The sequence below is a fragment of the Homo sapiens genome, chromosome X (assembly GCF_000001405.40).
Source record: "Homo sapiens chromosome X, GRCh38.p14 Primary Assembly".
Classification (NCBI taxonomy): domain Eukaryota; kingdom Metazoa; phylum Chordata; class Mammalia; order Primates; family Hominidae; genus Homo; species Homo sapiens.
The window spans coordinates 7,273,486-7,288,521 of NC_000023.11; the positions used below are offsets into that span (position 1 = coordinate 7,273,486).

At 39.8% G+C, this 15,036-nt stretch overlaps 1 protein-coding gene across 7 annotated transcripts in view; it reads left to right on the forward strand.

Moving 5' to 3' along the window:
* STS (steroid sulfatase) overlaps positions 1-15,036 on the forward strand; it is a 207,352-nt gene that overhangs the window by 126,196 nt on the left and 66,120 nt on the right. For all 7 annotated transcript variants that reach the window (NM_001320750.3, NM_001320751.2, NM_001320752.2 and 4 more), the window contains one exon: positions 2,466-2,602. In NM_001320750.3, coding sequence (NP_001307679.1) covers positions 2,466-2,602 — 137 coding nt within the window. The remainder of the gene's footprint in view (positions 1-2,465; positions 2,603-15,036) is intronic.

A 15,036-nucleotide genomic window follows, 5' to 3' on the forward strand; every position in this document is an offset into this window, starting at 1 on the left:
ACTGTGGGTCCTAGCACTCCCATTCCAGAGAAGGTCCTACCCCACACTTAGAAAGAAGGAACGCTGCTCAGAGAGGCCAAGAACAATCTAGACAGACAGGCCTTGCCGGCTTTCCCCACTCAGTTCATTAGCATTAGATCAGGCCCTTTTTGTCCAATCCTATTTCTACATGGCTGTACATACTTTGTTGAACCTAAGCATAAAAATAGTCAATTTCCCCTTTATCTTTGGGTCTTCATTCTCAAGGCTCCTATGTGTACACATTAAATGAATTTGTATGCCCTTTCTCCTATTAAAAAAAAAAGAAATTGAATTCCTGCCCCCATCCATGCATTCATTCTCTCATTTGTTTGGCAATATTATTAAGTATCTTCTACAGGTCAGGCATGGCACTAGGGCCTGGAGATTCAGTGGAAGGTTAATGCTCCATGGTGCTCAGCCCTGATGGGACTTCCTGGAAAAGGGGAACAGGCTCTCAGAGGAGGTGGCATTGGAGATGGCTTCTGAACAATGACTGCTTGCCAGGGAGAGGGGGAAGTAAGTTTTAGGTTGAGAGGTGATGATGTGCAGAGCATTGAGCTGTGAATGTGCAAGCTGTGTTTGGGACTGGTTACCATATTGGGGTAGAAGCTGGGCTGTGTGAGAGTATTGGCATCAACATAAGGCTTCGTCAGGACTGTTCATGTTTTGATAATAAATCTGAAGTGTAGTTATTTAAGGAACCCACCCAAGTTCACAGAAGTAGTTAAAGGAAGAGCTTGAATCACAGTAAGAAGAAGCCATTGGGGAGTGGGCAGTGAGGCAGGGGCTGTCATTAAGGTGTGTCTGTCCCCTCTAAGCATTGCAGCTTCTTGCACAAATCTCTCAGAGCTCTCACCAACCCTGGGGAAGTGGACACTTGTCCTGTTCCCTGATAGCCTTCAAAAAGGCCTCTCACCCAGTATTCTCTTTCAGCAGAAAGGAATTGCTAATTATTTCCCAGACGAGAGGTAAAGATTGAGCCTACGAGGTGAAACTGAGACACAGCACTAAATGCATTTCTCAGAGGGCAACCCGATGTGAAGAAGCACCCATGGGACTTATTGATCCCTATCAGCAGACTCAGTTGTGAAACCTCATACCTTCGTATAGCAACATCGCTCACAGCCCATTGTAGCAAAGGCCACGCATTGACAGTGACTTATAACTCTTGAGTATCTGTGCATTCTAATCAATTCAAATGAAGGAGGTTTAGGTGCTCTCTGAATTAAGGAATATGTTTGCATTATCATTCCCCTCTCTCGAGAGGTTTAGGCCAATTGAATGAATGTTCTATTTAACTTTGAAAATTTCAGTATTGACCATTTAGTGTTCATTCTAGGAGACTTGTTGTATTATAGAAGAGGGTAGAACACAAAATTGAGTTGGAGTTCAAACAGCATTGATGAAAGTAATTGACAACTGAAGGTACACAATGGAATACTATTCACCTTTAAAAAGAACGTAATGCTGTCATTTTTGACAACATGGATGAACCTGGAGGACATTCTGCTAAGTTGTATAAGCCAGACACAGAAAGACAAATACTGCAAGATCTCACTTCTATGTGGAATCTAAGAAGAAAGTTGAACTCCTAGAAGCAGAGAGTAGAATGGCAGTTACCAGGGACTGGGGTTAGGGGAGTGGATGGGGAATGGGGACATGTTGGTCAAAGGATAAAAAGTTTTAGTTAGACAGGAGGAATAGTTTGGGGATGTATTGCATTACATGGTGACTGTAGTGACTTACAATGTATTATATATTTCAAAATTGCTGAGAGAGTAGATTTTAAATGTTCTCACCTCAAAGAAATGACAACTATATGAGAAAATGAATATTTTGATTAGCTTTATTTAATCATTCCACATGGTAAACATATATTATTGCACTGTCCCCAACAAGTCTATACAAGAATTATTTGTATATATCAAATGATACCTATATATACAAAATTTGTATATATATTTGTATAATTGTTTGCATATATCAATTAAAAATTTTAAAAGGTAGTCTTCTCTAGCAGTGTGTGTATGTGTATTTGTGTATAAATTTTTTTCCCAAAGAAATACTATTTTCAAGGTGCTTGAATTCATATTAATCACCATATAGAGAAGGAAGAACAGAATTAAACAACAACAACAAAAAACAAATATAGGCAATTTTCTATTAAATCTCTTCCTGAGTTGGGTCTTTGGGGGATGTCTCAATAACATAATTCTTCACTTACTGATCCATAGAGGGTAACAATAAGTCACTTCATAGAGACACAACAGAGACTTACCTTTCTCTGACAGAAGATACCATATTAGGCAATTAACTTGTAATATTTTGTGAATTTTCAAATAGCCTGCTATGATAATAGGTGGATCTTAATCAGAATGGTGGCAGACATACTTAACATTATCTGTGGTCTTTTTTTTCCTCCCTTTTTTTTTTTTTTTTTGCAGGAACACTGAGACTCCGTTCCTGCTTGTCTTGTCCTACCTCCACGTGCACACAGCCCTGTTCTCCAGCAAAGACTTTGCTGGCAAAAGTCAACACGGAGTCTACGGGGATGCTGTTGAGGAAATGGACTGGAGTGTGGGTACGTTTCTCCTCAGTGAGTGCTTAGAAAGCTGCTAAGTCTTTGCCTCCTTGTGTTTTCTTTCCTGTGTATTTCTATCTTTGTTCCTGATGCCTTTAGAGACAGCAAATGTATGGGGTTTTTTGAAAGTAACCAAAAATGCATTGATCCTGAAAGGTAAATAGAATACAAAAAGCACCTTCACCAGCCTCGGCAACATAGGGAGACCCCATCTCTACAAAAAATAAAAAAAAATCAGCCAGGTGTGGTGGTACATGCCTGTGGTCCCAGCTAATTGGGAGGCTGAGGTGGGAGGACGTCTTGAACCCAGGAGGTTGAGGCTGCACTGAGCTATGATTGCACCACTGCACTCCAGCCTGGGTGAGACTGAGACCTTGTCTCTTAAAAAAAATATATATATCTTTACCCTCTTTTGCATGTCTGCAGTTCCTAGTGGATACATTTCAGGGGAAGTCTAGTCTGTGGGCTGCAGATGGAAGAGATTCATGGACGAAAAGAGACAAAACTTTAGTCCTTATTATCCCTTATTCTATCAACAATGAAATATGAACAATGCCTTGTCATTAGCAGTTAAATGTGTGATGGATTTTGGATCCAGAATACCTGCAGCTGGCTACAGCCTTGGCGAGGCTCTCAGGGCAACAGTGACGAGATCCTCGTGTTCTTCTTGCTGCATCTAACGATGGCAAAGCTTTGCTTGTTCTCCAAACTCCTTCTCTCCCTTCCTGAGCAAATAACCCTATTTCTGAGAAACATGGCATTTTTCACTGACATTGGGAAGACTTCCTTACTGAAGCTTTGTTTAAGTTAAAATGCATGTCTTCCATATCTACATCATCATCCCTATGCTTTTATTTTGTCTTGCAGAGCTCAGAGATCCCAGGATGGGGGATTACACCTGGGGTCTCTTAGCTGTACACAGCTAAGGGGTTGGCTGGCATGCAATCTCATGCTGAATGAGGTAGGGAAGGCCTTAGTGTGTGAGTTACGCAAAGGAGTGAAAAATCAGCATTCCAGTCCACTCGGAACTTCTCACAACTTCCAGTCTTTTCTAGCAGCATTGCCTCTTACTTTTACATTGCTGGGCTCATCTGGACAGTATCAGAGTGACAGAAGAGATCATTTTGTCCATATTCCAGTACTCGCCCAGGTTCCTGAAGATTTTCATATATTTGTTTCCTTTTACTTTTTCTCTCTCTCATTCTTCCTTCCATTTCTTTTGGTGAAATAACTCAATAGTTTCTAATCTTTGGATCCAGATGTTTTGGAAATCCATGAAAGTTGCTTCCTAGTTCTGTTTGTTTGTTTGTTTAAAGCAGAAAATTGATGGCAGTGGTGGTCACCTACTGTGGTGATTGTCAGAACAAATTTTGTTCTGTTTTGTTTTAAATCATGAAAGGAGCACCTTCTTAAGAAACAAGACTGGGCTCTTCTTCCAGCTTCTAGATGCTTCTTTAATTATCTCTGTGAACTTGGGAGATGTTTTACATCTTCAGGCCTCTCCTCTATCATCTTGATAGGAGGATTCAAATTAGGCGAGTTCTGAGGTTCTTTTTTTCTCTAATAGTCTGTGATTCTATAAAGTAATGAGAGTGAGTACCATTTGTAATACTAACTAGGAAAAACAAAACCAGAACATTCTCTCTAACAAGATTTATAAGAAGAATGCATTACGCTTAGGGCTCGTACATATACCAATACAAGCCTGCCTCCTTTTATTTTTTCCTTTCTAAAATGTTGCACATAAATCAATTTATATTTTTCGCATCTTAGTGTAAATCAGTAGAATATTTTCTCTTTTTAATGAGTGTTCTATTTTAATGTGTCAGGCTGCTTATGCAACTCTAAGATTTCTGTTGGCTAGCAAGCAACCTCACGCTGATCTCATCACACCTGTTGATTAAATTTTATTTAATTAGCATGGCATACATGCCTGACTCATTAGAAAGTCTAACTTCCAGTGTTGTCTCACTACTAGTTCCTCTAAAGTATTTGGAGAGTATTTTCAATCTTCAAGACCTGCCTTAGCCCCTGATTTATAGATGTTTGTGTTGTTTTTTTGTTTTTGGCGGAAAGATAAAATCCTTCCCCTAAGCATTCCATGAATTTTTAAGAAAGTTTTTGTTTTTTAAATCCAATACATATGAGTGTTCTAAAGAATATTTCTTCTTTCCAAGAAGGGCTTTTCCTTATTACACAGGACGGGACTGTTGGATTCTGAATAATTATGTAATAAAATAAAAGGGGGATATTTGCTTCATAAGAAACACTCCCTGCACAAAGGAAAACTGAGATGGAAGCGGTTAACTAGTGAGGGTGCATCTCAGTCACTCAGAGCATGTTCTCTCCACATGTTTGAGGGCTGTATAATTCTGTGGATCATCACTTTCTCCACTGCAGGTTTCTCTAAGCCTGGAAAGGCATATTCAGTGACCAAGAACCTTTATTATGTAACTGTACACCAGTTCTACTGCCCGTGATTGTGGCTTACTGCCTTATTCTTAGCTGAGTGAGTGCTGTGTCTCATATTGTTATAGTAACTAGAGAAAGACTGACTTCATACAGATGTTGTGAGAGCTGCAGAAGGGGCTTCTCAGTACAACCACACAAGGGCAGTTGAAATCCAGGAGATACAATTCTGCTCTGCAAATTCACGGGGTGGTCGACATGATTTTAATCATCAGAGTGACTAACATTGAGAGCTGGCCGTATACTGGGCCCTGATAGCACATGTATTTGTGGGAGCCATAGGCTTTTGGTCCCATAAAGGTTGTCAAGAAATCACTGGCATGAGGCAGATTGATTCATAGGAGAAAAGACATACTAATTTATTGAATGTGCATACACAAGAGCCTTCATAATGAAGACCCAACCTCCCAATGGGGTCCAGAAGCTTATACACCATCCTGAGGTTACAGAAAGGTTGGGGGCTTGGGCCAGGCATGGGGGCTCACACCTGTAATCCCAGCACTTTGGGAGGCCGAAGCGGGCAGATCACCTGAGGTCAGGAGTTCGAGACCAGCCTGGCCAACATGGTAAAACCCCATCTCTACTAAAAATACAAAAATTAGCCGGGCATGGTGGTGTGCACCTGTAATCCCACCTACTGGGGAGGCTGAGGCAGGAGAATCATTTGAACCTGGGAGGCGGAGGTTGCAGTGAGCCGAGATCGCACCACTGTACTCCAGGAAGAAAAAAAAAAAAAATATATATATATATATATATGTGTGTGTGTGTGTGTGTGTGTGTGTATGTGTGTGTGTGTGTGTGTATATGTGTGTGTGTGTGTGTATATATATGTGTGTGTATATATATGTGTGTGTGTCTGTGTGTGTGTGTGTGTGTGTGTGTGTATGATGGGGGCTTGGATCCTGGTAAAACAGGTTATGCGGGTCAGGGAGAAGAGGAGTTCTGTTGAGGGGCAATAAATGATTGCTAGGGAGAATTATTGGATACAGGAACAGAGATTATCTTGTAATTTAAATGATCCTTGGAGTTAGTCATTGTACTTGGAAAAGGGTCTCCTCAGGGGTAGTCATATCTTGGTCTTCTTTTCTGCAACAGACAATGAAATTACAGGGAGGGGAAGGGAAAAAAATGTTCTCCTTGTGGGGGTCTGGATCTTAGGTAGATAAAAGAACTTCACCTTCTATGGGAGAAACTGTGTGTGGGATGAGGGGGAGGTTAGAGAGACTTGAGGCTTCTTCGGTTTAGCATGTCAAAATGCAATCTTTGGGGATATCAGTTTCTGAGTCCCAGCATCTTACCTCATTTTGTGCTGCCAGTGGTCCCTGTGCAGCAGGTGATGTTCTCATCATTCGCATTCCACAGGTAAGGCAAGTGAGGCTTGCAGGTTAGGTACACCCACCTCAGGTTACAGAATTCATAATGGGTGAGCATGAGTTCCAATGCAGGTGTCCCACCTAGAACATGAAATCTACACCACTTTGTTTCTTTTCTTTCCATGTAATAAGAAAGCGTGCATCATGTCAGTGCACAACCAACAACATATCTCCGGGACAGATCTAGTTCATTCATTAGTCATGTTGACTGGATGCTAACTGTGTGCTTAAATGTTTTTTGGCAGTGTAGGGTGGGAGTGGGGTGCAATGATGATAAGACTATAGGTTTAGGGGAGAATGTTCAGCCTACAGGATAGTAAGAAATTTAAGATTCTTTCAGGAGATCCTATAACAACTCAGGGCAGAAAGTGAGGAATGTCATGAGGGAGGTGCAGATAAAGTGCTTGAACAGTTTGGAAGCAGGAAGGGCAGTGGTGCTGTGCATGTTGGATACAGCAGCCACATCATTTCAGCAGGGCACACCCACAGTGGAATTCTTTGGGCAATCATGGTGCTATTGCAAAGTCTGATTTTCAATCCCAGTTAATTCTGAAGCAGCCCAAGCATCAGGGAAGAACAAACGTGTAAAATCTCATTGTTCTCCAGTATACAACAAGCATTTTGGAGGCGTGTCATTCTGGCTGTTTCTCTTCCTTTGGAAATAGACTGACATTTTTCATAGACCTGTTCATGGTTGGGGGTCAGGTGGAAGGATGGATGTAGTTCTCACCGGGGGTTTCTTATCTACAGCTTACACCATTATAGTGATCACAGCTAGTCTGTGAAGTGGAATTTGCATGCAATCAGCATTCACTCAGAGCCCTGTGCTATTAATAGAACAACATGAAGGAATCATAAATCAGCCTTTGCTCAGGATTAGACTAGCAAGTTCTGTACTATTACAAAGAAAAATTCAAGTGGAGAACAAGAAGGTGAATGCTAAAACAAATCTCTGGCTTCCAATCAAAGCTTCCTGGCCAGGTGTGGTGGCTCATGCCTGTAATCCCAGGTGGATCACCTAAGGTTATCAGTTCAAGACCAGCCTGGCCAACATGGCAAAACCGCGTCTCTAATCAAAGTACAAAACTTAGCCAGGCATGGTGTCACATGCTTGTAATCCCAGCTACTTGGGAGGCTGAGATGGAAGAATCACTTGAACCCGGGAGGCGGAGATTGGCATGAGCCAAGATTGCGCCCCTGCACTCCAGCCTGGGCAACAGAGTGAGATTCCATCAAAAAAAAAAAAAAAGCCTTGCTATGGAAAAAAAAAAAAGAAAAAACACCCTTCCACTGCTGAGAGTTGGAATCAACTGATTTTATGAGATTCTTTCAAACAAGAATGGCAAGTCTTCATCTTTAGATGGAGTTCCAGAAGTCTTTGTGCATTTGTCGTTCAGTTGCTCAGGATTGGTAGCTTGGCATCCCCTGTTGGCTGAGCATGACAGGGCAACCCTCAGTTTGATTTCTCTCACTCTCCTCTGCCTTCCCTGCAGGAGGACCTGGACATTGCTATCGTACCCTCTGGGCACAGAGAACCAACCTGGAGGAAAAATAAGTGGTGAATTCATGAGATGAGCTTGGGGGATGTTACAGAATGAATGCGTGTTTGCCATGCCTGACATTTAGTCAGTCATGTGCAACTCAATGTAGCAGCAAGGGCCATGCACCCAACTCGTCTTGAGGGATGGAGAATAAATTGGAAGGCCTCATTCGTAAGAGCTCAGGATTGTGTCAAGAACCTCAAGAAACACAAGAAAACTCTGGCAATGGGGAACCATAGGTATTGGTCTAAGCCCTTCAAATTTGCAGTGTAATTTTAAGTAGGGCCTGGATTATCAGACATGGTTGTAATGGATTATCCATTTTAAAATAGACTCTTTTAGGAGGTTTGGATTAAAATGATTGTGAAAGTATGGACTGTAGCATGCAATGAATAACCCCTCTGTATATAGGTTCATTTACATGGACAAAAGTCCTCTGATTCAATATACGTAGAAGACATCTACTTTTAGAATCTGTAGGGGCCATGGGGAAAACTTCCCCTTCACCCTCTGAAGTTTCTCTAAAGCTCAACTCACAAAACGCAGATTAATTGGAGAAAAGTCATAAAAACTATATTAACCTGCACACAGGGAGCATCACAGAGTGGCTACCCAAACCCCCTATGGGATACCAAAGCTTGTATACCATATTGAGGTTACAGAAAGAATGGGAGCTTGCATCATGGCAGCCCTCCGATAAAATAAGTGGTAAATGGTTTGTTTGTTTGTTTGTTTGTTTGTTCGTTTTGAGACAGGATCTTGCTCTGTCACCCAGGCTGGAGTGTAGTAGCTCAATCTTGGCTGACTGCAACCTCGACTTCCTGGGCTCAAGCAATCCTTCCACTTTAGCCTCCTGAGTAGCTGGGACTGCAGATGCTTGCCCCCAAGCCCAGCTAATAATTTTATTTTTTGTAGAGACAAGGTCTCACTATGTTGCCCAGGCTGGTCTTGAACTCCTGGGCTCAAGCGATCCTCCCATCTTGGCCTCCCAAGGTGCTAGGATTACAGGCGTGAGCCTCCATGCTTGGCCAGTTAATGTTTCTTTAAGATCTTTAAAGTGTAGGACTCTCATTTCGTATTTCCTAGATCTGGACGAGGGAAGTCCTGGTTACATGAATACAGAGTTTCTGCAGATGCAAATCTCCCCCACAAAAACAGCTCTCCTTGCATGCTGTCTGAGAGCCATCTCGCATATATGAAATAAATATATTTTGTGGTAAAATATTTTGATTTCCTTCAAGTTCTATAGACCAGGTACACATTAGGTGCTCAATAAGGAAGTTTTAAAAGTGAAAGTATGGCGGTCAGGTGCCTGATATTTGCAAAGCCTGATCCAAGGTGCCAGGAATTACTAGGAACACAGATATGAATAAGGTTGACTTGGCTTTCTCCTATATATCAAAATAGTAGTCCAACCATGGGCATGGATGAGATTGTTCTGCAAGAATATTTCAGGCAGTTGGGCAACCTGTGACCCACAATTTATCTCCATCTAATCCAGGATAAGAGTTTAGAAATCAACCTTCATGTCTTTACTTCTCAAAACTGTAAGACCCAAAAAAACAAAAGCCCATGTTCTATTTGACATTCTTTGCCCTATACAGAGTCTAGCCTGGATCTTAAGGCTTTGTATTTCCCTTGGGGTGTAATGCATCACTTTTCTATCTTGAATTTCTTAAACATTCTTATTTTTGATCAATGCAACCCTCTTTAAAAAGTGACAATAATGTGCTCACTTCTGGTGCACAGTGAGGATGGAAGGTCCAGTCCAGCATCCAAAGGAAGGTCACGGCAGAAAGAACCTCTAAAAGAAAACCAAAAGAACAGCCAAAAACTGGGAAGACAGACTCAGAGAAGTGTGATCAGGGAATTCAGGAGCAAAGAGCATTTCAACGGATAATGATCAATACCAACGAGTACTTCAGAGACATCAAGAAGGGCTGAAAAGGGACAAGTGAATGTAACTCCTGTAAATTGTAGAATTATAGTGTATTACAGAGAATGATATTTGAGGAGCTGAGGTCAATGAGGTTGGATATTTCTTTCAAGAGGAATGGAAGAATTTGTGCCAAGGGATGACTTACCAGGCTTTGTCTGAGCTCATCTCTGCTTGGAGACCATGAATTGGGTGTTGGCACATAGGTATGTGGATTTTCAGTTCAATGCAGGGCCAGAAAGTAGGATCACCAAACTTATTGATGATTGAAGTTTTGCTAGCAGGGAGTGTCACAAAAGGCAACTGGGCAGTGGAATTTGAGTGATTAGCAACAGAAGGACTGAAGTGGCAGATGGTGGTGGGGGATGAGGAAGGAAGAGAGCTGGTGGCTTGTGATGATGAACTGGAGATTCAAACAAGATTGCAGCAAAGGTGTTGGAAGGCTGGGGCAGAGTGGAAGTGTTTATATTCCAGAGGTTGAATCATTCCAGGTATTCCCAGGTGCATGGCATGCCTGCTGGATGATGAATGGAAGGCAAGTTCCTGGCGTTGGAGAGGTCATGGAATTGGGAAGCCAGAGTGTTCAGCTGGTGCCTTCATATGACTGTGCACCAGCAAAGATGCCATGCACGGCTGTCCTGTGATTCCTAGGGCTGATTATCTTTATTCACTTTCATGGTGGAGGTTTATAGCCAGGCAGAGAGAGGGGATGCATAATGGTTTACTTGCATAATGGTTTACTTTGTAAGGAGGAATGTAGAACCATTATGGACTGCTCATTCATTAACTGAGCTTCCAATATTATCAAACACTCAAAATTGAGGCTTGAAAATTATTTCAATCGTTGGTTACCTGCCAACGTTTCAGGTTTTTAACAGGTTTCAGGGAGTCAGGGAGGTGGTCCATGCACACTAAGAAAGCTGGCTTCCCTCTGTCCAGCACAGACCCATCTGTTAGCTCAATGGCATTAAGGCAGTATTAAGAGCTAACTGCTGAGACTATACAACTAGTTATCTCTTCATAGCTGTGGCACACATCCCAGTGGGATGTGATGTGCAGGGGGATGCACTTGGAGCAATAAGAAATAGAACGTGGAAGCATTTTGTCTTAAAACTCTTAAGAAAAGCAAATGTATCCCCTAGTCTCTCTCTCATCTGCTTCCGCAGCAATGGTTGGATGTGGTATGAATTCTTAAATGTGTTTTTAATTTTCATTTTGTTTTAAACATGCGCTTCATAGAGTTCAAATAAAGATAAATAAATAGAGCATAGAGCCATGTGACACTGGCTCCAGACTAGACAGCATGATGGAACAGAGCAGGAAGCCCAGAAAAAGAATTTCATGTAAAATGTAAATGTAAAGGTGACCCTTCAAGGCAGATGGCTAAGAATGGATTATACAATAATTGTGATGGTATGATTAAACTTTTAGGAGAGCGATTGTAGTTAATTCACTACTGTCTGGCATTGTGGTGCTTTGCATGTGCTTAAATGGTATAATAATGGTGTTGTGTTGATGGTGATGGTGATGGTGGTGATGCTGATGATGGTGATGATGATGATGATGGTCATGATAGTGATAATGTTGATGATGATATGATGGGTATGATGATGGCGATGCTGATGATGGTGGTAATTATGATGATAGTGATGATGGTGGTGAAGATGGTGATAATGATGAAAATAATGAAGATGAAGAGGAGGAAGCAGGGGGACGTTGTGATGCTCAAAATAAAGAAGTCAATTTTACAAGAAGTATAGAAGATTAAAGTAAGTTGCCCAAAGTCATGGAGATGGCATATGATGGCTAGGATTTTAATCTTGTCTGTCTTACATACTATGCTATTCTTGCTGTTCCTCATATATTTAAATAAATTCCCCATGCAGATTGTGTTTGGAAAATGGAAGTACTGAAGAATTCCAAAAAATATATTGAGATATATTTATCTGATATACAGGATAATTGAGAAAGGTCTTTCTGAGCACAAAAGCCAAGAAATAACTAACTCAAAGAGAAAGATTGCAGAATTTTACTTCATGAAATCTAAAATCTCCTGATGTCAGGTAAAAATATAACATAAACTGAACAAAAAGACCAATGACAAAAGACTTAAAAAGCATGTGCATCATCAACATAAAAAGAAAACTCCTGAGATATAGGAAGAGCTCATACAAAGCAAATGATAGAAAGATAAATATCAGAAAAAGACATTGATTATACCAATTTATTGTATCAGTTCATTACACATGTTCTAGCATTGGGCATTATGATTTTAAAAAATTAAATGTTTGCTAAAATAACTGAAAGAGATCAGCTCTTTTTAAAAATTACACATACCACATTATACTGATTCCTGAATAGGTCAGACTTTTTTCTTGTATTTTTAAAAAAATAATTAAACTACAAAAAAAATCTGTTGCCATTTATCCAGTGGAGTCAGAATCTTTCCTTAATCCCCAATGCTTATAGGAGGACCTGATGAAATCTATGGCCACTGAATCCCTTATGAGTCTGCCGCTGATACCATATTACTGTTGTTTCAGCTTACGAGGCATATTTTAAATATTCAGCCAACACCTCTCATTTATGAATCCCAAGGCATCTATGACACAATGATTAAAACTCAAGTGAAGCAACAAATTGGGCTTTATTTTCACACTGATGTTTTTCTTCATTGGAAATCCCCTTTAGGAAATGTCTTTCAAAAGGCTTTAGGTTATCTGTGTGTGTGTGTATGTATGTGTGTGTTTACACATGATATTTTACATTAAATTTATCTCCCACTCATCCTAAATCACACTTTTTAAAAAATGAGTCTGTGAAATCTACTTATTTTAATAATGCTAATGTAATGTTAATTCCCCAAAGTGGAAACTGCAGTTAAAAAAAAAGGAAATCCATTGGTTTATTCAGACTGTCAACTCTTGGTATATGCTTGCAGTCATAGCTGAGCTCTGGATCAGATGAAATATGACCTCTGATCGTGTCATTGCACACCCGTATTGCTGAGATTGCTGTGATAATCATGAAATTGCAGATAGACAGTATCTTCTCAGGGACTTTTGACAGGGGCTGGTATTAAGCCTCTGCTGCCTAATGAACCAATTTTTTATTCAAGCAGATCTAGACAGGAGAGAAATGAAATCATTTCCATTACAGACCACTGTTTACCTGAATGCAACATGCATAATGAGGTTTTGAAACTTCAGGAAAACATCTAGGAGGTGATGACAACCTCTACATTGCAAAGGAATGACTAATACAAACCCACTTATGCGTGATTCTCTTTCCACGATTGCCAAACGTATTTAATAAAGAGACAGTTTAAAAACCGCCAGTTACATGCTTGACTGTAAAGATATATAGTACACTTTAGGATATGTGCTGTTTTGCTGTTTGGGAGTGTTTTGTATATACTTTTTAAAATACAAGGCTTTCTCAAATAGGATAGACCATTTGTTACTGGAATATAATTTTATCTAGGGTTCTTACTCCTTTTCATTACTGCAGGAAGAAAATGAATTTTTGGTAAATTGAAATAAAATCACATATGTCAACATTTTCTATTGATTGTCACTTTCAGAATTGTGTGTTTGGGAAGCCTTTGTGAGTGACAAGGCGTGGAATGGAGGAGACAGTAGCTATGAGATGCTCGCTGACTGTCCCAGAGTTTATGCTTTTCTTGTGCCTTCCTACGATGTCTGGACAGCTTTCTCTTCATGCAGAGGCTTAGGATGAAGTCACTGAGAGCTAAGGTCTATGATTTAATGTAGTTCAAGAGCAGAGTTCTGGGGGTGAGTGTGAGATAGCATGTCACATACCACTTTGCAACAGAAAAAAAAATTTAAATTGTTGCCTCAGTCTTCTGTGTTTTTTTAGTGTTTTCCACACTTTGTATAAATGTTTTTCTGATTACCAAAGTAATCCGCAGTATGCAAAACCGAAGAATATAGACACAAACAGTACAGAAAGGGAATGACCCATGAAATCTCACCCCTAAATAGGCAGCATCATTAATAGTTTGCTGGATAGATTTATTTCTTATATGTTGCCAGTATGACATATTAATATCAAGATTTGACTATTAAGAATATTTTACACAAACTCTATATGCTATTCTGCAGTTTTTTCTTTTCGCTCAACTATCTATTTGGTCATTTTTCCATTTCACCATTTCGATTTTCATTTTACCTTTCTTAGACTACAATTTGTTTAATCATTCCTCTGTGAGGGACATCTGAGTTCCTTTTTTAAAATTTTTTTATTTTTTATTTTATTTATTTATTTATTTATTTGTATTTCAGGTAGTGCTATAAGTGAATATTCTGTAAAGCTGTGTGAACTGGTGGGAATAATTTTGAAATAAAAATTCAGCCGAGATCAAATTTGCTGGATCAAAGAGCATAAAAAATTTGCTTTCATTTGATATTGCCTAAAATAGGTATACTCTTTTTTTCACCATGATAGTAGGATACCCATTGATAATCAATGAGAACGCTAATTTCCTCATACTCTTAGCAACCCTGGATATTATCAGTCTCTTTTTCATCTATCGGGTGAAAAATGCTAGTTCACTATTTTTTTTTCTATTGTGTGTAGGGTTAGTACAGTGTTGTATTTCTTCTCCCAAGGATTCTTTGGTCACTTTTCTATTGGATTGTAGATCTTTTTCTTATTGATTTGTTTGCACTATCTATATGATAAGAACATTAATATTTTACTTATTGTACACTGCAAATATTTTTCCTGCCTTTTTTTTTTGTCTTTTCATTCTATTTAAAGAGTCTTTTGCAATAAATTTTTGTAGTTAAACCTTCATGATGTCTGGGGCTTGTAATTGGAAGATTTTTTTTTTTTAAAGCTTTTCTTACTCCCCTACAAATTACAGGTTGAGTATCCAAAATACTCAAATATTCATCCAAAATACTCAGGACCAGAAGTGTTTCAGATTTGGAATGCTTTCAGATTTGGGAATATTTATATTATACTCACCAGCTCAGCATCCCTAATCCAAAAATCTGAAACTCAAAATGCTCCAATGAGCATTTCCTTTGTGTGAGCATCATGTTGACACTCAAAAAGTTCAGGACTTAGGAGCATCTCAGATTTCAGATT